Here is a 27,534-nt window from a genome sequence, read left to right on the forward strand (position 1 = left end):
AAACATGGCCTCTATAACTTCTCAAGAATAGGCGCATTGGCCGGGCGCAGTGGCTCACGCCTGTAATCCCAGCACTTTGGGAGGCCGAGGCGGGCGGATCACAGGGTCAGGAGATCGAGACCTTCCTGGCTAATACGGTGAAACCCCGTCTCTACTAAAAATACAAAAAATTAGCTGGGCGTGGTGGCGGGTGCCTGTAATTCCAGCTACTTGGGAGGCTGAGGCAGGAGAATGGTGTGAACCCGGGAGGCTGAGGTTGCAGTGAGCCGAGATTGTGCCACTGCACTCCAGCCTGGGCAACAGAGCGAGACTCTGTCTCAAAAAAAAAAAAAAAAGAATAGGTGCATTACAACTCTGCCAGTTGTAACTCAAAATACGCTGGGAATAGTCCTGGTATGCTATTTTGAATGTCATTTCTTCACGAGCCTTCTCTAGAACCCCTAGGAAGCCTGAGATCTCACAGAACAGCCTCTCGTGGGACACTCTACCATAGAAATCTGAGAAAAACAAGAGTATGGGTGGTGCTGCTATAGGGGAGAACGAAGGTATAATCACTGGAAATGGAATAATTTGTTAGAGTGTTAGAAAGAGTATAAAGAGCCATCTTTAACATTGCAATATCTTTTATTTATCCTGCTACACTCAGGTTTGCAAAACTGCCATATGTATACATATATATCAATATGTAAATGTGTATCTATCTACCTCTGTTTATCTTTATTAATTGAAAATTATAGTTGAATGATTGATATGAGAAAGCCTGAGAAGAAACAATCACTTTTCTTGGAAAAAACTGTTCATATTCCATATGTACTGTAGACGGGAATGTGGAAAAACACTAGAAAACGTGTCACTGGCCCCTAGAAAACGTGTCACTGGCCCCCAGGAAAATAAATCTAGCATTCATCTATCAGTCCATATATTTTTTTGCTTATCTTCATGAATATTATTTCTTTCCCCCATTTCCAACTCCTGATTTCCTGTCTCCTGATCCCTGTATCCAGTCAACAATGTCTCTTACACACGTCTCTTACATGGCATCCTTTCTGTACCTAAATCCAGAACCCAAATTCAGGATTTTCCATTGTGCTTTTGAAATGTTGCAAAAGCCTTCTAAATGCAAATATCAGCAACCAACACTCTAATATGAATAAGTTTGTCTGACTATTTCCCTCCGCCATGTGATACTTGGCTAAAAAGAATGAAACATAAAAAAGACAAGTATTGATGGGGAAGGCCAGGAAGATCAGTTTAAACCAAGATCATTGCTAGTGAGAACAAGCCTAGGTTAATGCCAGGTGCTTACTAGAAGGATGTTTTAGGGACCTGTAGGGGGGCCAAGAGGCAATCTCTGGAGAGGGTGGGAGATTGAGGAATTTGGGTCTGGGAAAGGGGTGACACAAATGAGCAAGATAAGGGGGAAAACAACCAAACTTGTTCTGCATAATTCTTTAGCTTAATAGGTGGTACTGCTGCTAAGTTAGTACTAAAATTCATGATTCTGTGTGGACTTCACCTCTCTTTGATTTAGTTTTTCTGTCTGTAAAAAATACACTGAGAGTAGTCCTGCTAGTCTATTTTGAGTGTCATTCCTTCACCAGGCTATTCTAAAACTCTAAAAAGTATAGGGCCGTTATGGGAATAAACAAAATAACATAGCACTTTTGCCTGGCACATAAAAATGTTCAGAAGTGTTTGCATTATCATGAGAACCCTCCATACATAAACACGGACACACTGTGCTCACCTACTAATAGCCATTTATCACGTATTTCCTAAGCACTGGGTGGGACATGGTGCTAGGCACAATGGAGAAGGCAAAGATGAGTCAAACGCTACCTCAATTGTGACAGTCCTTCTTTATTCACCTGGAGTTTTTGAAGTTAAGATATGGTGTTCTACATCCATGTTTTTGTTAATGCAGGGGAGATTGGGCTGCTTTTATTTCACTAGCACATGGAAGGAGGGATAAAGCATTTAGAAATGGTGAAATTGGCAGCTTTAGAAAATTCAAGAACTCTATCAGCATTAGAATGTGAAAACATTTGAGTCATAGGCTTGCTAGGGGTGAGTATTTAATAGGTGCCTTTGTAAAATCTCCAAACTAGGCTGTATCATTTTCTATACATGTTTAAATCTCTTAATTACAAAGCAACTTTAATTATACATAAAGTATGCCACTTCAATCATGTTTTAATCACACATAAAAAAATTAAATTTATCCCAAAGTTATTTTCTGCATTTCAATTCTGATTTTTAAACTCTGGCATATTCTGTACCAAAAAATTGCATTAAGCTAATGTTTATGCTTGCACATAATCCCACACTTTCAAGGCAACACTTAAAATATTCAGAAGAGCTTCACAAGAGGGAGTAGTTTAATTCTGTTGTTGACTCAGAGCCATTGTTCTTCACAGTTACAGCTCCGCTGGCATAGGCTACATATGGTCACTTGTTTTCTCAGTGTACAGAGTGATAATGCATTAACATTCTGGCTGGTGGTGGAGGCTGTGCTGTGCTTTAGAGAAATATAGCAGGGAAGATGTGCTGCCTCTTTGGCAGAAAAGAGGGCAAGATCAGCATGAGAGAGCCTGCAGATTGCTATAAACTAATCATTGGGACTGTACACTGTGGTGGCTGACCTAGAAGTCAGATCATTCCCTTACGGAGTCTAAATTTCAAACATTGTCTGTCTGTGAGTAGGACTTACATTGAAAGAGTGGTCATCAGAGAGAACTATGGACCACAGCCACAGAAGGAAGTTTTGCCAGCTTCCTTCACCACTGCCATTCAGAGGTGCTGTTCTGGAGCCCTCGGTTGCCACTTGGAAGAGACTTTTTATGATCCCACTTTTGCTCTAATCATGGCTATGTAGGCCCCAGGTCAAGTGGAGTGCTGGGCTGGTGACTGATGGCCCTGTCAAGGTCCATTAGAAGTAGTACTTAAGTACTTTCTTAGGTCATTAGTATTAGGCAACAAGAATGGGGGATTTTGGCTGGGGTTTAGTAAACATGACTTTTCTTAAAGCTTTTGCAATTTCCTTTTGTGTATATGAAGTGAGGAAAAAAGGCCACGGAAGATATTAAGCATCTATTCCTACCCCGCCCTCCAAACCCCCTCATCTCTTATCTAATATTATTCCATGTGGGATTGTGTGCCAAGAGACATTTCCAGTTATGAGGGCTTCTACCTACTTTTTCCTGCTTCTCTGGGTTACATCTGTGGTTGCGAATAGAAAAATTAATACTAGTGGCAGCACCAGAGGGAGCCACTTACACACTTTTGTTTCAAGCAGTGACGAAGCTGACAGTAAGACTTAAAATGCAGAAATATTAAGGTTTAATTGTATTTTCTGAAAGAGAATGGCAGAAAAGTAGATGATATGTAAAATCTGTTAGCAGCAATTCCAAATTATGGGACTAGTAGCAACCACTTTCTCTCTCTCACTTGAAATATTTGTGAATGGTAATTGCCTGGCTGCAATCCAGAAAGTAAATCATATTTCAAAATGTAAAATTGTGTTTGGAGCAAGAAGTATTCTCTCTGATCCTGGAATTGTCCCTCTGCAGAATACTATTAGCAAGTTTGCATGTTTGAAACCTATACCAGTTTACTGTTTTTGTAATGTTAATGATGCTACCAAAAATAAAGAATGAGGAATTAAGACTAAAACTTTTCAGATGCACATGCCAGTGCTCAATGCATTCTCTCTCACTCTGACACACACACACACACACACACACACACACACAGTGTGCACACATATTTGCACAGGTGATTTTGCTGTAGAGCATTAGAACCAGGATTTTGTAAGGACATCAGGTAAGCTTGCTCTTGAGTACTATGATAGGGTTGAGAGAATTAAAATCCTGAAAGGAAAATAGAATGTATTTATCTTTATTAGCACACTGACCTTTTTTTTTTAATGAGGAAATAGTCAAATGCATAAAGTTCTGAGTGAAACTCTATCTTAATTACCACACTAACAAAATATTTCAGGAAAATATATTGATTCCAACTTCTTGGAGGGAAGGTTTCCAGCCCTTCTCTTGTTTTGTCTTGGCTGATTCTAAACCAAATTATAAAAACACTGGAAAGGAAGAATTGCTATAGTTCTTCTTTGAACAACCACAAAAAAAGCCGTATTCTTAGTACTGCTCAGCCTTCCTCCACCCCACTTTGACAGCATCAGGCATATCCAATAACATACTTTCACAAGAAGGGATTCTATGAAATTAGATGATCTCCTTTGGCTCTGTAATGGTACTTTTTTGGCCTGATTGTGATAAGGCCTGCAGTGCATAATGCTGACAACAAATGCTTTCTTAGGTCGCTTTCCACGTAACAGTAATTCTCTTCAAGAAAGTAATTGATTAACTGGGGTTTGTGCTACAGATGGAAAGGAGGGAATAAGAAAGATTGCTTGTGCTTGACTCCCTGGCGATATTTATCCTTCTTTTCTTTTTAAGAGTCTTTCCTTCTCTTTCTGCCTTGCCCACCCTAGCCAACATGCTTCCCTCGCAGACTGCCCATTCCTAATCCATTTTTGGGGGAAGCGATGGACTAAGGAAGTCGGGGATGCAATGTGACTGTGATCTAGTGTCCTTCTGCCTGCAGAACTTTTAAGAACACAAATTTGCCTCTGAGACAAGGAAGTTCATATATTTTTTGTTTTATCTATCCATCCATCTACCTATTTTATTTTAATTTTAAAAATGAGACTTCTCGGCCGGGTGCTGTGGCTCATGCCTGTAACCCCAGCACTTTGGGAGGCTGAGGTGGGCGGATCACAAGGTCAGGAGTTCAAGACCAGCCTGACCGATACGATGAAACCCCATCTCTACTAAAAATACAAAAATAAGCTGGGCGTGGTGGCATGCACCTGTAGTCCCAGCTACTTGGGAGGCTGAGGCAGAAGAATCGCTTGAACCCAGGAGGCAGAGGTTGCAGTGAGCTGACATCATGCCACTGTACTCCAGCCTGGGTGACAGAGCAAGACTCCATCTCAAAAATAAAATTAAAATTAAATAAATAAAAACTTCTTAGTCTAGAAAGAGGGACCATTACTGAGGAAGAGATCTACAGCAATTTTGTTAACTTCCAAAACTCTGGAAGACATTGGTTATCACTTCCTTCAGGAGCCTTGACCCCAGATGTCTAGAGAAGTTCAGGGCCAGAGCAGCAGGTCAAATGGGAAGCCCTGGAGCTAAACATACCAGGTGATTCTGGCTACCCTATGGGCAAAAGGTTTCAAGAACCTTCTTCTCCCTGGAAAAAGAACAAGAAAGGAAGCAGCAGTGGTTGTGGTACAACAGGTGACTAGTGAAGGTAGAAGAGATGATGTGAGCTTTGTATGTACAGAGAAGGTGTCCCCAGCACGCGGTTCCACACTGTAGTGAATATCATGAGTCCACTGTGCACACAGAAGATCCTGGGTTCGGGAAGGTACCCCAAAGTGCCTCCAAAGCATCTTCATACTTACATTGTATTAGGATGTGAACATATGGGAACAGGAGTGGGGGCCTGGAAGGGAGAGGGGCATGTCTGGTACCGAAAAAGATCATCCTCACATCTTGTTATTTCAAGCTATGTCTGCAAGCAAACTGGTAGCTGTGTTGCTGACTTAACAGAAACAGAGAGGATGCTTGAATACTGATTTGAGTGTGATAAAGGAGATATGTTATATAGTACTCTTCTTGGTAGTATACAAAAAGATGGGAAAGGGCAGGGAGCAGAGTGAGTAGAGGGCATGTCTCCTGCTTAGGAATGATTAAATGGCTATCTTTGAATTGGACTGGAGAAGAAGGAATCCTCAGGACGCTAGGAAACCAATGGACTTAAGTAAGGGGTCAGTGTGGTCCTTTCTTTGTAATCTGAGAATTACCGCTATGCTTTGTTTAGCAAAAGGTACATAGAGGCTTCAGTTTGCCACCTCAGAACCTTAGTTAAGAGACTAGAACTACATTATATGATATGCAACATCTCCATGTGAAAAAAAAAAAAGCACCAAAAACTTCTTAGTCTAGAAAGAGGGACCATTACTGAGGAAGGGATCTACAGCAATGTGTCCATTTGTGTTTAATAGTAAAACCCTTGAAAAGAAAAGGACCTGAACATTAATGTCTTTGGGGAGAGAAAGGGAGGATGATTTAAGGAGCAACATCTCACTTTGGAAATCAGATTTGGAGGAGCAGGACCACGAAAGGTGAAGTGGGTGGTTTTGAGAAGGCCCAAGAGGGTGTGCAGCCTAGAATGACAGACAATAGGAATCAGATAAGAAAGCATCCTGAGACAGAGCAGGGAAGAGGCCCTAAGATGTCCACATATGAATAACGTCATCAGAGAAGTCCACCTGAAATCCCTAAACAAATAAATTGAAACAAGAGCCCACAATAAGATGCAGATGGAGACAAGAGGGCTATCAAGGAGGCAACTGCCAAGTGAGCCAAACTTCTCCTTGGTCTTTGATTCTTCATCAAGCAAAGTCAGAACATTTGCAGTGTTTTGAAAACCGCATTTGTTTTTCAAGCTAATTGTTATTAAAGGGTGATTTCAAATAGTTAGATTTAACATTATTCCAAATAATTGTAGTAACTCAGTTGTATGTGGTTAAATTCTGGACCTTTGAGCAAGGCTTTCGGCAAAAACCTCCTTTGTCAAGTGCAAAATAGGCAAATTTACAGCTCCTATTATATAGGGATTGCTATTTAAATCTGAGATGGCAGGAAGTAGGAGGGGGGATAATTTAAAGCAACTGACAGGCATTATGTCTTTCTCTGATCCTTATTTTTTAAGTTCTCAACAAGCGGTTTAGCGGTATGAAGACAAATCTCTCCCGGAAAAAGTAGAATGGAAAGAAGCTTGATGCTATGCATAGTACACTGGGATTGAAGTTGGATGATGTAGATATAAGTTGACATAGGTAAGTTTTGACTTTGCCGTATGCTAATGATTGCTGAAGGCAGTGCAACCTGGCTTTCAGTGTTTTTCCCTATAAAATAAGAAAGACAACATATTCTTGCCTGTTTCGTAGAGTAGTATTAAAGGACCAATAGGTCAAAGTCTGAAAAGGCATTTTATATACTATTAAACTCTATATGAATATAGGATACCATTGAGTATAGCAGAGAAAAAGGTAATATATTGTAGTAGAGTCAGAAATTGGATGGATTCAGGGTATAGGCCTTAAAATCAGAGGAGCCTCTGCCATTAAGTTATTTAGTCTCTCTATGCTTCAGTTTCCCTATTGATAAAGGGAGATAAGGAGAACTCTACCTGTGGAACATTGCAAGGAGTAAATATATATATATATAGAGAGAGAGAGAGGGAGAGAGAGAGAGAGAGAGAGAGAGCTTGGTATAGAGCCTAACACACAATAAGAGTGCATACATAAAATGAATATTAGCTATTACCAGGTGTGATTATTGGTTGACACCACTGAGTTTATTTATCTTGGAAATGATAGATTCATGAGCGTCACAGATAAGGACCTTGAAGCTCAAGCACTTTGTTTCTATATAACACTTACATCACTTACATTATACTTGTTGACATATAGATGGTATTTAAGCCATGAGATTAGATTACACCACCAAAGGAGTGAGCATAGATGCTCAATATATGCATTCCATTGCCCAGACTTCTAAACTGAATAACCTCATGCAAGCTCCTTATCCCTCTAAGCCTCATTTCTTCATTTGCAAAATAGAGATAATATCTTCCTCATAGAATGAGAGGGTTTAATGAGATAGTATATGCAGAATATGCAGCACCTCATTGGAATGATTTCATTCTGTTCTTTTGGTGATAACTCAGCTTTCAGAAATGGCCCTGAAGGGCCAAAGGAAAAACAGGCAACCAGGAGCAGCGTCTTCCCATGAATTTCACTGTGTGAGTTGTTTTCCCTAACTCATATTTCTTTTGCTTTCTATTTTCTAAAAGACTCCGTGTTTCAGTTAGTTCAGAAAATATTGCTTTGATCACAAAGCTGACCCCTACTACATGTAATCCTGAGGCTTTTTCTGGTAAAAGACATGCAAAAATATACCTACAAAACAATGTGTTAATTTCTTACTTAGATATCATTCCAAAGCATGTGAGCATCAAGATTCGAAAGAAGAGGTGGGAGACATATAGTTGCAAATAATATTTGTATTCTTTAGAATTTGATATGATTAAATGGATACTGATATGGCCCAAGCACAAAGATTTCATCACTTTAATATATATAGTTAAAGTGAGTCTAATGTATTTTGAGAGACATATAAAGAAACCCAAGTATTTATTCTGAGATCTTCTACAAATAATGTTTTTGAAAGTTCATATAAAATAAATCTTTATGATACCATGATCAAACTGTAATATTCATCTGTCTGTATGAATTCAACTCTTATGTTCAATAATGGAAATATGTGCTCTTGCAATTATAAAATTGAAACCTCTTGAGAGTACAAACTGGTAAACCTGGAAATCCATTACTTGGAATTAATAATGCATGTTATTTTTTTCATAGAAAATGATCTACCTTTTTTGTATTAGATATTACATTTGACATATTCTTCCATGTCTCAAGGTAATATCTATGGTGTCGCAAATTACATTTGTAATTAGTTATTCATGCCATTAAACTTAAATATACTATAGAAGTTCAAGAGAGTTCGTAGAAGTAGAAATGAATTAAACATAAATTTTCTGATTATCTTTTTTAAATGGTCTTTTTCAATTTTAAGACTATAGAATTAAGTAATTTTAAAAGCTCACTGATTAAAACTATTTTTAAAATGTCTTGGTATGTGATACTTGAACTTAATTCTCTAAATAATCTATTTACAAAAAATAGTGATTTTCTATTTTGCTTAATTATCTGAATCATATAAGCATTTTTACTTTAATGGAAACAATAATTTTCTTTATAAAATTAGCAATTCATATTTTGCTATCATTATGTGGATTTAAACACTCTTAGAAAATATGTATCAGACACTAATAGGAATTATTTTGAGTTGCTTAATTATCATACACCACACAGAAATGCAATAATTCAATAACATTGCTTGCAACAATAACTTGCAATTTCAAAGATAATGATGTTTGGGTCTCTATCAGTTATACAATTATTTTGTAACTTATAAATAGTTCTTGTACATGTAACTTGTGTAACAGATATTGTAATACAAAACATAAAGGGAATGAATGCACAATATGAAATATTAAATTAACTATGTTTTTTAGGTGTTTCTTCTTAAACTAAACTTTTATGTAAACTTTCTGCCTCCCTATTCTTCTCAGACTAAGTTTTACTCATAAAATTTTGTGGCTTTTATTACTTTTATTAAACAAATACTCATCTTAATAATGAGAAAAAAAACAATTGAGCAGATAGGAAGAAAAAAACAGAATTCTGTCATCACAAGGTAGCTCCTTTTATTCATCCATTCTCTTTCTTTTTATTTGTTTATGTGTGTGTGCATATTATTTGAAAGTATATATACATAAATAAAATATAATAAGTATATATAACAAAGATGGTATTTTAATGCTCTGTCATACATTTCTTTCACATATTAATATGTGAAATATTAGAAGGCATAATTATAATATAATTGGAAGATGTAATTATTATAATTTTAAGATATAATTAGTATACAATGTAATATTATTGTATACTATAATTTAACAATTTATTGCTTGAATTTTTTTTTGCTTTCATTTCTTTTTTCTGTTAACTATGAACTGCATATTTCAATGCACAGTTTGATTATTTTCTTAGGATAAATTATTGATCATGAATTCTTGGGTTTAAAGATATGCACACTTTAAATTATTTCAATGTATATTCCTAAGGTGCCTTCCATAAAGGTCATAGCCCAGTGAAATGTCTCAGGCAGAAGTTCGTTGTGCCCTGTGCAATACAGATATTACATTCTTTTTGATATTTTCCAATCCAATAGGTATGATCTTTCTTCTCATTGTATAAATTGGCAAGTCTTTGATAGCTAATGATATAAAACTATAAAAATATGTATTTGCCAAATGATTTTCATCTTTGAGATTTCATCTAATTTTTCTAATCTACTGTCCATTTATTCTGTTTATGTAAACACAGCTATAGATCTTTGTTACTGTTTCTTTCTTTAACATCAAGCTTAGATTCTGAGAAGCCAAATTATGTACATATTAACCCATATGTTCTTTAGATAGCTTTATGTCTTGAGTTTTTACAATTACATGTTTTTCATCCAAAATGTGTTTTGTTATTAAGTATGATATAAGGATCTAAACCAAACTTGTCCAACTCACAGGCCCTGGGCCACATGGGGTCCAGGATGGCTTTGAATGTGGCCCATCACAAATTTGTAAACTTCCTTAAAATATGATGATTTTTTTTTTTTGCAGTTTCCTTTCTGTTCTTTAGCTTTCTTCTTCTTCTTTTTTTTTTTTTTTTTTTTTTTTTTTTTTTTTTGCTCATCAGCCATCATTAGTGTTAGTATATGTCTATATCTATCTATCTATCTATATATATCGATTTTTTTTTTTTGGCAGTTAAAGACAGGTTTACTTTCGATAAAACCTGAGAAGGGCTTCTGGCTGATTTCAATCAGGAGCGCTTTCTCTTACAGACAAAGTACATGAGTATACATTGGTTTTAGGGTGAGGGGGCTTATCACAAGCTTGGAATGTGTATGTGTAGGGGAGAAGTTTATGGTGAGGTTGGAATGTCTCTGGGTGAAGGGGGGATTATCTTGGGGCTGACATCTTTCCAGCAGGAAGGGGGTTATCTCGGGGCTGGCATCTTCCCAGCTGGAGGGGGGCAGCTAGCATGTCTCTGGTTGCAGAGGAATTTGGAATGTTTCTGGTCGGAGATTTTTTTTTGTTTATGATCATGCTGATCTTAGCCATTTAGGCTGATGCCCTTTGGATTTAGGCAGTTTTTGATTAATGTGAATTGGAAAATAACAGTGCTTGTGCAAGATGGTGATACTCCTGCTCTGTCATATTTCAGCCTCTCAAAGCTCAGGGATTATAGGCATGAGCCACTGTGCCTGGCTCTGTTGTCTGATTCAAAGTCTGTTTTATCTGATATAATAGTGACCCCTGGTTGGGCGTGGTGGCTCATGCCTGTAATCCCAGCACTTTGGGAGGCCAAGGTGGGTGGATCAAGAGGTCAAGAGATCAAGACCATCCTGGCCAACATGGTGAAACCCCATCTCTATCTGGTAAAAATACAAAAATTAGCTGGGCGTGGTAGTGTGTGCCTGTAGTCCCAGCTACTCAGCAGGCTGAGGCAGGAGAATTGCTTGAACCCAGGAGGCAGAAGTTGCAGTAAGCCGAGATCGCACCATTGCACTCCAGCCTGGCGACACAGAGAGACTCAGTCTCAAAAATAAAATAAAATAAAATAAAATAAAGTAAAATAAAATAATAGTGACCCCTGACCTTTTTTGTTTTCCATTTGCTTGATAGATCTTTTTTCTTTTTTTTTTCATTATTATTATTATTATACTTTAAGTTTTAGGGTACATGTGCACAACGTGCAGGTTTGTTACATATGTATACATGTGCCATGTTGGTGTGCTGCACCCATTAACTTGTCATTTAGCATTAAGTATATCTCCTAATGCTGTCCCTCCCCACTCCTCCCACCCCACAACAGTCCCCGGTGTGTGATGTTCCCCTTCCTGTGTCCATGTGTTCTCATTGTTCAATTCCCGCCTATGAGTGAGAACATGCGGTGTTTGGTTTTTTTGTCCTTGCGATAGTTTGCTGAGAATGATGGTTTCCAGCTTCATCCATGTCCCTACAAAGGACATGAACTCATCATTTTTTATGGCTGCAAAGTATTCCATGGTGTATATGTGCCACATTTTCTTAATCCAGTCTATCATTGTTGGACATTTGGGTTGGTTCCAAGTCTATGCTATTGTGAATAGTGCCGCAATAAACATACGTGTGCATGTGTCTTTATAGCAGCATGATTTTATAATCCTCTGGGTATATACCCAGTAATGGGATGACTGGGTCAAATGGTATTTCTAGTTCTAGATCCCTGAGGAATTGCCACACCGACTTCCACAATGGTTGAACTAGTTTACAGTCCCACCAACAGTGTAGTGTTACTATATTTTATGTGTGGCCCAAGACAATTCTTCTTCTTCCGGTGTGGCCCAGGGAAGCCAAAAGATTGTACCCTAAAAATGATAGTATTGAAGAGCCTATCTTTCCACACTAATTTGATATGTGTACTTTTTCATGTACAAAATTTTTACACATAGTTGAATCTTCTGGACTTTCTATTCATTGCCATTGCTCTGCTTATTGGGTGAAAATGCTACATTGTTTTAATTTATTGTATATTTCTAATACTTTTCTAATATCAGGTAGTACAAGCCCTGTGCATTAATTACTCTTCTTTTTTCAGATATTTTCTTACTATTCTGTCTACTGTGTTTCTTCTAAGTGTATTGTAAAATATTCATCAAGTTAAAAATAATAATACAATTGTTATAAATTAGTAAGGAAATGTTAAATAACCTCACACTCTTGATTTTCAGAATCAGGACTCTAGTCTATTTCTCAAATTTTTTAAAAATCATTTTTATTATATACTTTTTATTTTGAAATAATCTTAAATGCCTAGAAAAGTTATTTATTTGGATGTAGTCTTAAAATTAGAATTTGCAAGAGTACAAGTGTCTATTTTTAAAGCCATTTAAAAGTAAGTTGCCCATCTTTCCTTCAAATACGTTAGTGTACATTTTTTACAAATAAGGATATTCTCCTTCCTAATTACAATTGCCATCAAAATTAGGAATTAACATTGGTATGTTATCCCATCTAATCCTTAGACCCTTTTCAGTTTTTCTCAGGTATTCCAACAAAGTCCATTATAGAAAAAGGATCAATTTTATAATAATAATTATTTTTATTATTATTTGAGACAGGGTCTCTGTCACGCAGGCTGGAGTGCAGTGGTGCAATCTCAGCTCTTTGCAACCTCTGCCTCCTGGGCTCAAGCAGTTCTTCTGCCTCAGTCTGGGACTACAGACTGAGGCAGAAGACTGGGATTACAGGTGTGCACCATCATGCCGGGATAAATTTTGTATTTTTTGTAGAGACAGGGTTTTGGCGTGTTGCCTCAGGCTGGTCTTAAACTCCTGGGCTCAAGTGATCCTCCCGCCTCAGCCTCCTAAAGTGCTAGGATTATAGACATGAGCTACCACACCTGGCCCAGTTTAGAATTATGTTTTGTTTTTAGTTGCTATGTCTCGTTAGGCTTCTTCAGTCTGATATAGTGTCTTAGTCATTCTTTGATTTTATACCTCAACACTTTTTAATTGATACATAACGATTTTACATATTAATAGGATACCCATAATATTTTGATACATATATACAATGTTTAATGATCAAATCAGAATAATTTGGTTATCCATCAAATGCAGACATTTATTATCTCAAACAAATAAACTCAAACACTTATCATGATATATATATGTGTGTATATATATGTGATATATATGTGTGTATGTGTACTATATATAGTACACTATATATACACACACACACACACATACACACAATGGAATACTATTCAGCTATAAAAAGAAGGAATTCTTGTCATATGCAGCAACATGAATGAACTTGGAAGACATTATGCTAATTGAAATAAGCCAGGCACAGAAAGACAAATATCACATGTACTTACTCATACGTGAGAGCTAAAAAGTTTATCTCAAGGAGGTAGAGAGTAGAATGGCGGTTACCGGAGGCTGTGAAAATAAAAATACTATATGATCTAGCAATCCTGACTCCATACCTTAGCTGCTATGAATAGCACTACAATAAACATAGAAATATAAATATCACTTCGATTTGATTTCCTTTTGGATATACCCAGCAGTAAGATTGCCAGGTCATATGGTATTTTTATTTTTGTTTTTTTGAGGAACTATTATACTGTTTTTCTATAATGGCTGTACTAATTTACATTCCCATAATCAGTTTACAAACCTTCCTCTTTCTCCTTGCCAGCATCTGTTATTTTTTTGTCTTTTTGATCATAGCCATTTTAACTGGGATGAAATTATATCTCATTGCAGTTTTGATTTGTATTTCTCTGATGATTAGTAATGTTGAACACTTTTTATATACTTGTTTGACATTTGTATGTCTTCTTTTTAGAAATATCTATCTAGACCATTTGTCTGTTTTTACATCAGATTTAATTTTTGCTGTTGAGTTGAGGTTGTTATAGATGCAAGTTATTGATTCCTTGTCAGATGGATAAACTGCAAGTATTTTTTCTGTATTAGTCCATTCTCACACTGCTATAAAGATACTATCTGAGACTACGTAATTTATAAAGGAATTCTTTCCTGACTTTATTGTCAGTCCTTTAACTGACTCACAATTCTGCATGGCTGGGGAGGCCTCAGGAAACTTACAATCATGGTAGAGGGCGAAGGAGAAGCAAGGAGCTTCTCCACAAGGCAGCAGGAGAGAGAGAGAGAGATTGAGGAAGTGCCACACTTTAAACCATCAGATCTCACGAGAACTCTCTCACTATCACAAGAACAGCATGTGGGAAACTGCCCCTGTGATCTAATCACCTCCCAGCAGGCCCTTCCCTCAATACATTGGGATTACAATTTGAGATTAGATTTAGGTGGAGACACAGAGCCAAACCATATCATTCTGCCCTTGGCTCCTCCCAAATCCCATGTCCTTTTCACATTTCAAAATCAATAATGCCTTCCTAACAGTCCCCCAAAGACTTAACTCATTCCGGCATTAACTCAAAAGTCCAAGTCCAAAGCCTTATCTGAGACAAGGCAAGTCCCTCCTGCCTATGAGCCTGTCAAATCAAAAGCAAGTTAGTTACCTCCAAGATACAATGGAGGTGTGGGCTTTGGATAAATGTTCCCATTCCAAATTGGGAAAAATTGACCAAAAAAAAAGGGGACATAGGCCCCTTGAAAGTCCAAAATCCAGCAGGGTAACCATTAAATCTTGAAGCTCCAAAATCTCTTTTGGCTCCATGTCTCACATCCAGGGCACACTAATGCAAGCAGTGGGCTCCCACAGCCTTGGTCAGCCCTGTTCCTGTGACTGCAGGGTACAACCCCTGTGGCTGCTTTCACAAGCTGGTGTTGAGTGACTGCAGCTTTTCCAGGTGGATAATGCAAGCTGTTGGCAGATCTCCCTTTCTGGGGTCTAGAGGGTGGTGGCCCTCTTCTCACAGCTCCACTAGGCAGTGCCCCAGTGGAGACTGTGTTGGGACTCCAGCCCCACATTTCCCTTCCGCACTTCCGTAGCAGAGGTTCTCCACGAGGACTCCACTGCAGCAGACTTCTCCCTGGACATCGAGGCATTTTTATACATCCTCTGAAATCTAGGCAGAGGCTCCTGAAGCTCAGCTCTTGTCTTGTGTGCACCCACAAGCTGAACACCATGTGGAAGCTGAACACCATGTGGAAGCCACCAAGCTTGGGGCTCACATCCTCTGAAGCAATTGCCTCAGCTGTAACCTTGGCCCCTTTTAGCCACAGCTGGAGCTGGAGCAGCTGGAATGCAGGGCACTAAGTTCTGAAGCTGCACGGATCCACTGGGCCCTGGGCCCGGCCTGTGAAGCCATTTTTCCCTCCTAGGCCTCTGGGTCTGTCATGGGAGGGGCTGCTCTGAAGGTCTCTGACATGCCCTGGGGACATTTTCCCCATTGTCTTTGCTAATAACATTCAGCTCCTCCTTACTTGAGCAAATTTCTGCAGTCAGCTTGGCTCAAATTCCTTCCCAGGAAATGGGTTTTTCTTTTCTACCACATGGTCAGGCTGCAAATTTTCCAAACCTTTATACTCTGCTTCCCTTTTAAACTAAGTTCTAATTTCAAACCATCTCTTTGTGATCATATATAACTGAAAGCTTTCAGAATAATTCACGTTCTCTCTTGAACACTGCTGCTTAGAAATTTCTTCCAGCAGATACCCTAAATCATCTCTTTCAAGTTTAAAGTTCCACAGATGTCTAGGGCAGGGGCAAAATACCGCCAGTCTCTTTGCTAAAGCATAGCATGAGTGACCTTTACTCCAGTTCCCAAAAAGTTCCTTATCTCCTTCTGAGACCACCTCAGCCTAGACTTCATTTTTCATATCGCTATCAGCATTTTAGTCAAAACTATTCAACAAGTCTCTAGGAAGTTCCAGACTTTCCCATATCCTCCTGCCTTCTGCTGAGCCCTACAAACGGTTCCAACCTCTGCCTGTTACCCAGTTCCAAAATCACTTCCACATTTCAGGTTATCTTTGTGGCAGTACTCCACTTTGCCAATACCAATTCTCTGTATTAGTCCATTCTCACACTTCTATAAAGATACTACCTGAGACTGGGTAACTTATAAAAGAAAGAGGCTTAATTGACTCACAGTTCCATACAGCTGGGGGGCCTCAGGAAACTTACAATTGTGGTGGAAGGTGAAGGAGAAGCAAGTACCTTCTTCAGAAGGTGGCAGGAGAGAGAGAGAGAAGAGCGAGGAAGTGCCACACTTAAAACCATCAGATCTTGTGAGAACTCCTTTACTATCATGAGAACAGCAAGGGGAAACTGTTCCCATGATCTAATCGCCTACCAGCAGGTCCCTCCTTCAGCATGTGGGGATTACAATTCACGATGAGATTTGGGTGGAGACACAGAGCCAAACCACATCAGTTTACCATTCTGTAGATGACCTCTTCACTCTATTGGTTTTTTTCTTTGCTATGCAGAGGCTTTTTTTTTTATAAAATCTTTATAGAATCTCATTTGTCACCTGTGTTACCCAAAAAAATCATTGTCCAGATTAATGTCCTAAAATGTTTTCCCAGTGTTTTTTCTAATAGATTCATAGTTTCAGGTCTTACATTTAAGTCTTTAATTCATTTTGAGTGATTTCTGTATATGGTGAGAGACAAGGTTCTATTTCCATTCTTCTGCATATGGATATCCAGTTTTACCAGGATTATCTATTGAAGAGACTGTCCGTTTATGTTCTTGGTGTCTTGGTTGAAAATGAGTTGGCTGTAAATGCATAGACTTATTTCTGAGTTCTCTGTGCTATTCCATTAGTTTTTGTGTTTTTATGCCAATATCATGCTGTTTTAGTTACTATAGCCTTGTAGTATACTTTGAAGTCAGGTATTATAATGCCTCTAGCTTTGTTCTTTTTGCTCAGGACTACTTTGACTATTTGGGGTTCTTTGTAGTTCCATGCAAATTTTAAGAAATTTTTTTCTAAATCTGTGAAAAATATCATTGTTATTTTGATAGGAATTGCATTGACATTGTAGATCACTTTGGGTAGTATGGACATTTTAACAATATTATTTTTCTCCAGGAACATGATATGTCTTTTAATTTTTTGTGTGTCATTTTTAATTTCATTCTTCAGTATTTTATAGTTTTTATGGCAGAGCTGTCTCACCTCTTTGGTGAAATTTATTCCTAGGTATTTTATTTTTTTGTAACTATTATAAATGGAATTACCTTCTTGATTTCTTACAGATTGTTCACTGTTGGAATATAGAAATACTACTGTTTGTTTGTGTCATGATTTAGTATTATATTTTGCAACTTCATTGAATTAGTTTGTTAGTTCTAACAGGTTTTTGGTGGACTCTAGGTTTTTCTAAGTATAAGATTATGTCATCTGCAAACAAGGACAATTTGACTTCTTCCTTTTTCATTTGCATGCCTTTTTTTTCCTTTCTGTTACCTAATTGCTCTAGCTAAGACTTCTGCTATGATGTTGAATAAAAGTGATGAAACTAGGTATCTTTTTCGTTTTCCAAATTTGACAATAAAGTTTTTCAAATTTTCCCCATTCAGCATGATGTTAGCTATGGGTTTGTCATATACAGCCTTTAATGTTTTGGGGTATGTTTTTTTCTATATTTGTTGAGAGTTTTTATTATGAACAGATGCTACATTTTATCAAATGCTTTTTCTGCATTCATTGAAATAATAGGTTTTTGTCCTTCAGTCTGTTCATGTGCTATAGCACATTTATTTATTTATTTATTTATTGAACCATTCTTGCATCCCTGGGATAAATCTTGCTTGATCATGATGAATAATCTTTTTGATATGCTGTTGGATTCAGTTTGCTAAAATTTTGTTGAGGATTTCTGCATCTGTGTTCATCAGGGATATTGGCTTCCAATTTGCCTTTTTGTTGTGCCCTTGTCTGGTTTTGGTTTCAGGGTAATGTTGAACTCATAGAATGAGTTTGAAAGAGTTCTTTCCTCTTCAAATTTTTTGGATTAGTTTGAGGAAAATCAGTATTATATTTTCTTTAAAAGTTTGGTAAAACTTAGCAATGAAATTATCTGGTTACGGACTTTCTTTGTGGAGATTTTTAAAATTACTGATTCAACCTCATTACTTAATGGGCTGTCCAGTTTTTCTATTTCCTCATGATTCAATCTTGTAAGATTGTATGCTTCTAAGAATTTATTCATGTCTTCTAAATTTTCTAATTTGTTGGTGTATGGTTCTTCACAATAATCTCCAATAATCCTTTATATTTCTGTGGTATCAGTTGTAATGTTTCATTTTTCATCTCTGATATTACTTGGGTCTTTGTTTTTCTTAATTAGTCACACTAAGGTTTATCCATTTTGTTTATCTTCTCAAACAGCTTTCTATTTTGTTGATTATTTTTCTATTTTCTTTTTCATCTCAATTTCATTTACTTTTGCTCTGATTGTTAGTATTTTTCCTTCTATGAATTTTCAGTTTGGATTGTTCATGCTTTTCTATTTCCTTTAGATGCATAGTTAGGTTGAGTTTTAGAAGTCTTTTTTCTTTTTCAATGTAAGCATTTATTGCTGTAAACTTTTTTCTTAGTACTACTTTTGCTATACTGCATAGGTTTTGGTATGTAGTGTTTCCATTTTCATTTGTTTCAAGGAATTTCAAAATTTTCTTTGCAATGTGTTCATTGACCCATTGGTTTTTCAAGGCCATGTTGTTTAATTTTCATGTATCTGTGCAATTTCCAAGGTCTCCTTTTGTTATTAATTTCTAGTTTTATTCCATTGTGGTCAGAAAAGATACTTGATATGATTTCTACTCTTTTGAATTTGTTCAGACTTGCTTTGTGGCCTAAGATATGGTCTATCCTGGAGAAGTTCAATAGGCTGATGAAAATAATATGTATTCTTCAGTAGTTTGTTGAAATATTCTGTAAATATCAGTTAAGTCTTTTTGGTCTGGAAACTCTATTTTTTTTTTTTTTTGGTTGAGTTTCTGTCTGGAGGACTTGTTCATTGCTTAAAGAGGGGCACTAATGTCTCCTATTATTACTGTGTTACAGTCTGTCTCTTTCTTTATATTTATTAATATTTGCTTTATATATTTTTGTGATCCAGTGTTGGAGTACATATGTATTTATAATTGCTATATGCTCCTGTTATATTGACCCACTTATTATTATATAATGACCTTCTTTGTCTCTTGATAGTTTTGGACTTGAAGTCTATTTTATCTGATATAAGTTTAGCTACTGCTTTTTTATGGTTTCCATTTGTATGGAATCTTTTTTTTCTCCTTCACTTTTAGTCTATGTTTATCTTTATAGGTGAAGTGAGTTTCCTGTAGGCAGCATATGATTGGGTCTTGTTCTTTCAGTTGCATAATTTAGTTTATTACATTCAGTGTTATTATTGATAGGTGAGGACTTACTACTACCATTTTGTTTCTGATTTTCTGGTTGTATTGTAAGTTCTCCCTTTTTTTCTTTTCTACTGTCTTTTTTTGGCTAAGTGTTTTTTTCTGGTAGTATGTTTTATTTAATTTCTTACTTTTTATTTTTAACATATCTGTATTTTTGATTTATGATTACCATAAGGCTTACAAAATATTTTATGGATATAACAACTTAAACTGATGGCAACTTAACTTTGACTCAAATAAAAGAAAAAAATGATTCAATTTCCCCACATTTTGACCTTTTTTGTCTCAATTTTTATCTTTATATATTCCTATCTCTTAAGAAATTATGTAATTATTTTTGATAAATTTGTCTTTTAGTCCTCATACTAAAGGTATAAGTGGTTGATACATCACAAGTTTAGAGTATTCTGCATTTGTATTTGTTCTTGCCTTTTCCATTGTTTTATACTTTCAGATGTTTTCATTTTGCACATTAACATTCTTTTTTTTTCATATTGAATAACTCCCTTTAGCATTTCTTATAAGCTCAGTCTGGTGGTGATGAATTTCCTTAGCTTTTGTGTGTCTGGAAATGTCTTTAATTAGAGCTCCTTTATATGTTGTTTCTTTTGTTTTGCTGCTTTTACAATCCTCTTTTTGTGTTTGGCCTTTGAAAATTTGATTATTATATGCTTTGGAGTAGTCTTATTTGGGTTGAATCAGGTTAGTGATCTTTGACCTTTTAGTATCTGGATAATCTTTCTCTAAGTTTGCAATATTTTCTCTTACTATTTTTTAAATAAGTTTTCTACACCTTGCTATTTCTCAACTCCCTCCTGGCGGTCGACGGCTATTAGATTTGCTCTGTTGAGGCTATCCTCTAGATCTTATAGACATTCTTTTTTCTTTTTCATTCTTTTTTTCTGTCCTCTGACTGTGTATTTTCAAACAGCCTGTCTTCATACTCTCTGATTCTTTTGTTTAATCAGTTTTGCTGGCAATAACCTCTAATGTATTTTTCTATCTAGCCGTTGTATTTCTCAGCTCCAGGATTTCTGTTTATCTTTTATTATTTTATTCTTTTTGTTAAATTTATCTGAATAAATTTCTGCACCGATTTACTGTGTTATCTTGGAGTTCACTGAGTTTCCTCAAAACTACTGTTTTGAATAGTTGATCTGAGAGGTAAAAAATCACCATATTCTTAGGGTCAGACATTGGCTTCTTTTTTGTCTTTTCGTGGAGGTCATGGCTACCTGTTTGCTTTTGTTTCTTATGGATGTATGTCTATGTCTTTGCTTTCAAGGTTTAGTTATTTATTTCAGTCTTTGCTGTCTGCCTTGGTTTGGTCTTTCTAGAGTATGTATGACTAGAAGTCCTGTGCCAGTTGATTTTTGAGTACCCTCAGCCCAAGAACACTGCCTCCTTTTCTGCACTAGATGACACCCTTGCTCAGATTTGCCACAGTTCCTGCAAATAACTTGAGAGTGCTGCCCATCCCAGATTGGGGCTGGGGGAATCCTAAAGTGTATATCCCCGCTGTGTGGGAAAGGTGGCTAAGGGTTATGCCCACAGGGCCCCTGAAGTACCTCCCCTAAAGCATGTTGCTGCTGAACAGATTCAGTGATTTGGCATCTCCTTTGACAGAGATGAAGAATAGCTGCTGAGTTTTGTGCCCTGGCTGGTACTAGCCACACCTCTGCTTTATGCCTCTAGTTTCTCTTAGAAGCCTTCACCCTACGGGCATTTATGATGCTTCCTGTGGATTCAAGCAGAAATGTTTTTCCTGTGAAGAAACCTAACTGGTGACGAAACTGTCTGTCTTCCTTGATCTCACTTTTTCCAGGGTAAAAACTGAATCTGCTAGAACCTTTCTGCATAGTGCCTGGCAGCTTAGGGGAGGGTGTTGTGGCCAGAAGCTTTTGTTTCTCTTACCTCTTGCTTGCGGTTTTTCATTTCGCTGTGATAACTGGAGTCATCACATCCTCAGTTTTTAGTTCTGGGATGTCCCTGGTGATAATCTTGGCCCTAGATAATTGATTTTGGTTTTCTATGAGGGAGAGTAAAGCCAGATTGCTCTTACTCCATTTTGATAATATCACTCTCTTGACACTTTTAAGGATTATAGACCTGTCGTTTTATAGTCTCTAAGTTTGGAATTGTCTGATATTTCTTCATGATTACTTTTATAAGATGTATCTTTTGGAAAAATGTCACAGAAGTGAAGCTGTTATCTTACTGCGTCCTATCAGGTGGCTCTTGATTAAGGTGGTATCTGCCAGCCTTCTCCCCTGTAAAGCTGTCTGATATCATTTGGATATTTGTCTGCTCTAAATCTCTTGTTAAAACTTTATCCCCAATATAGGAGGTGTGACCTAGTGGAAAGTGTTTGCGTTATGAGGGATATGCCCTCATGGCTTAGTGGCATTCTCATGAGATTAAATGAGTTCTCACTCTTAGTTCCTTTGCCATCTAGTTGTTAAAAACAGTCTGGCATCTCTTCTTCTCTGCTTCCCACCGTGTGATCTTTACATACCAGCTCCTCTTTGCTTTCTATCATGAGCAGAAACTTCCTGGCAGCACCAGAAGCAGATGCTGATACCATGCTTCTTGTACAGCCTGGAGAACTGTGAGCCAAATATATTTTCTTTATAAAGTACCCAGCCTCAGATATTTCTTACAGCAATACAAACAGATGAAGACAGTATTATTTTCCCCTTTGTAATATATCATACCTAGCTAACTTTTAATTAATTAATTGACTAATTTATATCAGTATATACTCATTCTATTTTCATTAAATGGGTCACAGTTTATTACTATCATTTTATTCTTTCATGCTAAAACTTTCCCTATTTCACTAGTAGAAGCATTTTAGGGCGGAACACATGAACTTTTAGCATAACCCTATCATACTGAAAGCACTTTCTTGACTTCTGGCCCAGTAAGATGTTCCTGGCTCATCTTGTGCTTTTCCTTCCCTAGCTGTTGAACCAGCCATTTCTCCGAGGATAATTGTGTTTCCTTTTTTTGGTTTTTAATCTACATTTTAGTTTGTTTCTTTAGGAATAAGAGTAGTTTGGGGCAAATATGGAGCAAACAATTTCTTTTTATTCCTTATCAAATCTAGCACACATATATAATATACAAAATCTTTCTTGTACATATATAACTTTTTATTTGTATGAAATATTGACAAACCTGATGAAATCAGTATCTGTGAGCATTTTTTCAAATTCAGTAATCAATTTTTTGCATGATTTTTGGATATATATATAATATGTACTTTAATTTTTAGAGCAATTTTACATTTGTAGTAAAATTGATTGGAAGATGCAGAGATTTCCCATATATGCCCTGCCCTCATTCTTGCATATCCTCTTCTATTATCAGCATCCTACACCAGAGTGGTACATTGTTATGAAGAGTGAATCCACATTGACACATCATTATCATCCAAAATCCAAATTTTCATTAGGAATGAATGTTGGTGTAGTACAGTCAGTGGATTCCATAAATGTATCATGATATATGCCCATCATCATAGTATCATGCAGAATAGTTTCACTGCTCTAAAAATCCTCTAGGGCTCTATGGTCTGCCTATTTATATCTTCCTCCCCACCAGCCCCTGGAAACCACCAAACTTCTTACTATTTCCATAGTTTTGGCTTTTTAAAAATGTCGTATATCTGAAATCATATGGTGGGTAACAATTTCATATTGAATTCTTTCACTTAGTAATATGCATGTAAGGTTCCTCCATGTCTTTTCATGGCTTGATAGCTCATTTCTTTTTAGTGCTAAATAATATTCCTTTGTCAATATGCATAACAGTTTATCCATTAGCCTACTGAAGAACATCTTAGATTCTTCTAAATTTTGGAAATGATAGATAAAACTGCTATAAACACCTGTATGCAGGTTTCTATATGGACGTAAGTTTTCAACTTCTTTGTGGAAATACCAGGGGGTGTGATGGCTGGATCATCGGGTACGAGTATAAGTACTTCTGTAAGAAATTACAAAACTGACTTGCAAAGATGCTATACCATTTGTATTTTCACTAGCAGTGAATGAGAGTTCCTTTTGTTCCACCTCCTTGCCAGCATTTAGTGTTGTCAGCATTCTGGATTTTGCCCTTTCTAATAGCCGTGTAGAAGTACCTCGTTAGTGTTTTAAGTTGCATTTCTCTAATGACATAGGATGTGGAGCATCTTTTTCTGTGCTTATTTACATCTGTATAACTTCTTTGGTGAGGTGTTTACTAAGGACTTTGGCCAATTTTTTAATCAGGTTATTCATTTTTTTATTGTTGAGTTTTAAGAGTTCCTTGTATATTTTGGATGAATCTTTTATCAGATATGTCTTTAATAATCATTTTCATCTAGTCTGTGGCTTGTCTTCTCATTCTCTAGTAGTGTCTTTTGCATTTTTTTTATTGTAATCAATTACAGCTTATCAACTATTTCTTTTGTGGATTGTGCCTTTGTTGTTGTGTATAAAAGTTAATGCCAAACCCAAAGTCCTCTAGGTTTATTTCCTGTTATCTTTTAGAAGTCTCATTTCCTTTTAGAGGATAATGATATTTAAATCCAAGATTTGGGTGCTGGGTATCCTCATTACTATGTGGGAACCACTCCCCCCAGGCTCTCTCAGTGGACAGAGTTAGGAAATATATATTCATCCAATTTATATCTCTTTATATTTCTCTATCTTTCTATCTATTAAAAATAATGAGTTTGCACTAATACCTAAAATTCTAATCAAACACCACAGAGAGTTTTCTCCCTTTTCATATTTGCAACATTTTTGTGTTAATGAGAAACATGGCTTTTATTATTCTTAAGGTATTTACCTATTTGACCGATTGCCCTGTATTGAACCAATCTCCCATTGCTGCCATTGTGCCTTCCTCTGACAGATGTCCTCCGCACCCCACCTGGGCTCTGATGCTCCTTATTGGGCTGCCCTCCTGCAGGAGCACCCTCATCCTGTTTGGGGTTGAACAGTCTATGTCTGAACTTGCCTCTCTTTGGATGCCTCCTCATTCTGCCAATCCCCTGTCTCTCCACAGTGTTCCCTCCCTGTCTGAAACCTCTCCTCACAGTGCTCAGGCTCTGATCCCTTTCTCTGGGCCATCTTGGATGAAAACCCTCCCCTATTAGGATGCCTACTTTTCTCTGTCTTACCCAGTTAGTTTAGCTTAATGTTCAGTAAGGAAAAAGAAGGAAAAGGGAAGAGGGCCTGATCTTTCATGTCCCTCAGTAAACTTTATAATTTCATTGTTAACTTTCTTAGATTTCTAGCTATTTTATATTTTTGCTTGTATGGTGCATATTTATTTTCTTTTTTCTATTTTCTCCCTTTATTGCTGGTACATAGATAAGTTTTTATTTGTATGTTGAGTGTTTAATTTATAAGCGACCAAGCTCTTGATCATTTTGCTCCCTCCTTATATCTATTTAATTGAGCTCTTCCTAAAACATCAGTTGTCCCATCACTTTATGCGTAATGGAAGTTTCCTTGAACTGATACTTCTTGGTAGTTGAGAAGCTCCTGGCTTAGGTTATATAATTAGTATTTATGGGAAACAAGTTGCTTAAATAAAAGTGTCCCTAAAAATTCATTAATTAATTAGCATTAAGATTTGTTTATGATTTACTATATAAAATGATGAAATATAGAAGAGTGAGGCCCTTTTAAAAGTATTTAAGAATCAGCCAAAATACTGCTTGCTATTTAAGCTTAGATTCTTTTCTTCCAGACTGTAGAAGTAGAAAATACATGATTATTCAGAATTCTAGAATCGACTTTAATCCAAAATCCTTAACTAGAAAGTGGGGGTCAGGAGAGGTGGGGAATTAGAAAATTACAACTATGTGTTATAGTTTATATCAGATAATGTTTAGACATATTCAAATTACTCAAAATATTTTCTCAAGTTTCCTTTTTTCATAAAATCTTTAAAAGTAGCAAAAAGTATAGCAAAGTAGATTCTAATGTTCATATTCTTATTCCTAATATAATACATGAGTTCTTTGTAGTAGTGGTTTTCAAATTTTAACATGCATATGAATTACCAGGTAATGGGGCTAGGAAATTGCATTTTGATCAAACACTGCAGGTGATTACAATTCATGGGCCTCACTTAAGAAACACTGATTTAGAGTGAAACAATATTTGAATAAATGTTTCAAGTAGTATACTTTTGTTTAAAGTGCAGACAAAGAGTAAACACACTATTTCTAGTGATTATATCATTATTCAGGGAATACAGGACATCATGTAGTTGGAGACAATTGCACTCTCTACAATCTACTTTCAGAATAAGCTGTTGATGTTCACCAGCTCTCTAGGATCAAGAGCTAAGTTCCTTGAATGTTCCTGTCCTTTCTGAGGTTCTTAGTAAAATGACACCCTATAAAATAGTCTAAAAGGAGTTATAAAGCCACTCTATTTTGTAGTTATTTATCCAATTTTCAGTGTTTAAGAAGCTTTCTATTAGGCAAGAGTAGGTTCAGAATTATCTGTGAATAGCTGCCAAATAATGGTTGTTGTTGGAAACTCCTAAGTGTAGCACATGCTTTAGAGGAAATTTTTTGGTCATTTGGTCTAATGTAAAACTTAAAAGGTGGCCTGAAATTCACCCACCATTTGAAAATACGTAGTTGCTCAGTTCCGTGTCACTAATTCTCTGCTTTCTCTTTGCTTTCTGACACTTCTGAGGAGCAGACCTGTGAAGCTTGAGGCCACTCAAGTTCCAAATTTGTGACAAATCCCCCAGGGCTCACTGGAGTGGCAGTAAGTTCTCGCAGTTTGATTTCCTTTCAATCACTGAAGTGTTAGAAAAGTAGTAACAAAAGCTCCCACGGCAAAACAGCAATTCTGTTTCCTGACCATCCACCATAGTCATGACTTACCTCTTTTGTTCCATTGATTTTTCTGTTGAACAATTTTAATACTTTTAGCCATACAATATGCAGTATAGTTTTGACAAGCTGGCATAATCCTTTAACCATGCTTTGAGTGTACACTTTTTCTCCTTCTACCCCCATAACCTGCCATAGAAAAACTGATTTTATTTTTGAAAATTTCTTTCCCTTTTTCAGCTATTATTTTCACTTAAATATATAATGTTTTTATGTTACAAAGTTTGATTCTCTTTTGATGATATATACATACACACACATATATGAAAATCTTATGTTCACGGAAGCGTTATGTTGTGATATTTATAATCACTTCAATAAAGTCATTTTTAGAAAAAAAAATGTAGGCTGGGTGCGGTGGCACACGCCTGTAATCCCAGCACTTTGGGAGACTGAGGTGGGGGCATATCACGAGGTCAGGAGATCAAGACCATCCTAGCCAACATGGTGAAACCTTATCTCTACTAAAAATACAAAAATTAGCCAGGCGTGGCAGTGCACGCCTGTAGTCCCAGCTACTAAGGAGGCTGAGGCGGGAGAATTGCTTGAACCTGGGAGGCAGAGGCTGCAGTGAGCTGAGATCATGCCACTGCACTCCATCCTGGGCAACAGAGCAAGACTCCCTTTAAAGAAAAAAAATAAGAAAGAAAACTTTAGTAAAAGTCTATACGATGCATTTAGTCAACAAGGAAGGCTGACATCATTTTTAATGAGAGAAGAATATTTTAAAGAAGAAATAATGGCTTTTGGGTCAGAAAGAACCACTGATATCAAACTGACTCTCTGTTCTTTGTAACTAAACCCCAAACCAAACTGATTAACCTACAGCCGCAAGAACAAAATCAAACAACACATGATGTATGTTATTAGAGCATGTCTATAACTCGCTTTTTACATCAATTTACCAAACACTGAGTGAA

The 27,534-nt window shown here is 36.7% G+C and overlaps 1 protein-coding gene across 27 annotated transcripts in view, besides 1 other annotated feature; it reads left to right on the forward strand.

Annotated features, from left to right (window-relative positions):
- NLGN1 (neuroligin 1) overlaps nt 1-27,534 on the forward strand; it is an 898,421-nt gene that overhangs the window by 12,641 nt on the left and 858,246 nt on the right. For 5 of the 27 annotated variants that reach the window (NM_014932.5, XM_047447707.1, XM_047447702.1 and 2 more), the window contains exon 2: nt 26,418-26,486. The exons of 17 other annotated variants lie outside the window; for them this stretch is intronic. The gene's annotated coding sequence lies outside the window, so the exon portion shown is untranslated. Of the gene's footprint in view, nt 1-340; nt 6,923-26,417; nt 26,487-27,534 lie in introns of those variants that run through there. 5 more of the 27 variants (XM_017005893.2, XM_047447706.1, XM_047447708.1 and 2 more) reach the window with 2 other exon arrangements.
- Nucleotides 1,728-2,229: an enhancer, noted in NCBI's record as "NANOG hESC enhancer chr3:173128110-173128611 (GRCh37/hg19 assembly coordinates)". NCBI's record gives its function as "activates a minimal SCP1, AML or CMV promoter by ChIP-STARR-seq in primed H9 embryonic stem cells {active_cell/tissue: H9 hESC(primed)}" and the evidence as "EXISTENCE:reporter gene assay evidence [ECO:0000049][PMID:30033119]".

The sequence above is a fragment of the Homo sapiens genome, chromosome 3, assembly GCF_000001405.40.
Source record: "Homo sapiens chromosome 3, GRCh38.p14 Primary Assembly".
Classification (NCBI taxonomy): Eukaryota; Metazoa; Chordata; class Mammalia; order Primates; family Hominidae; genus Homo; species Homo sapiens.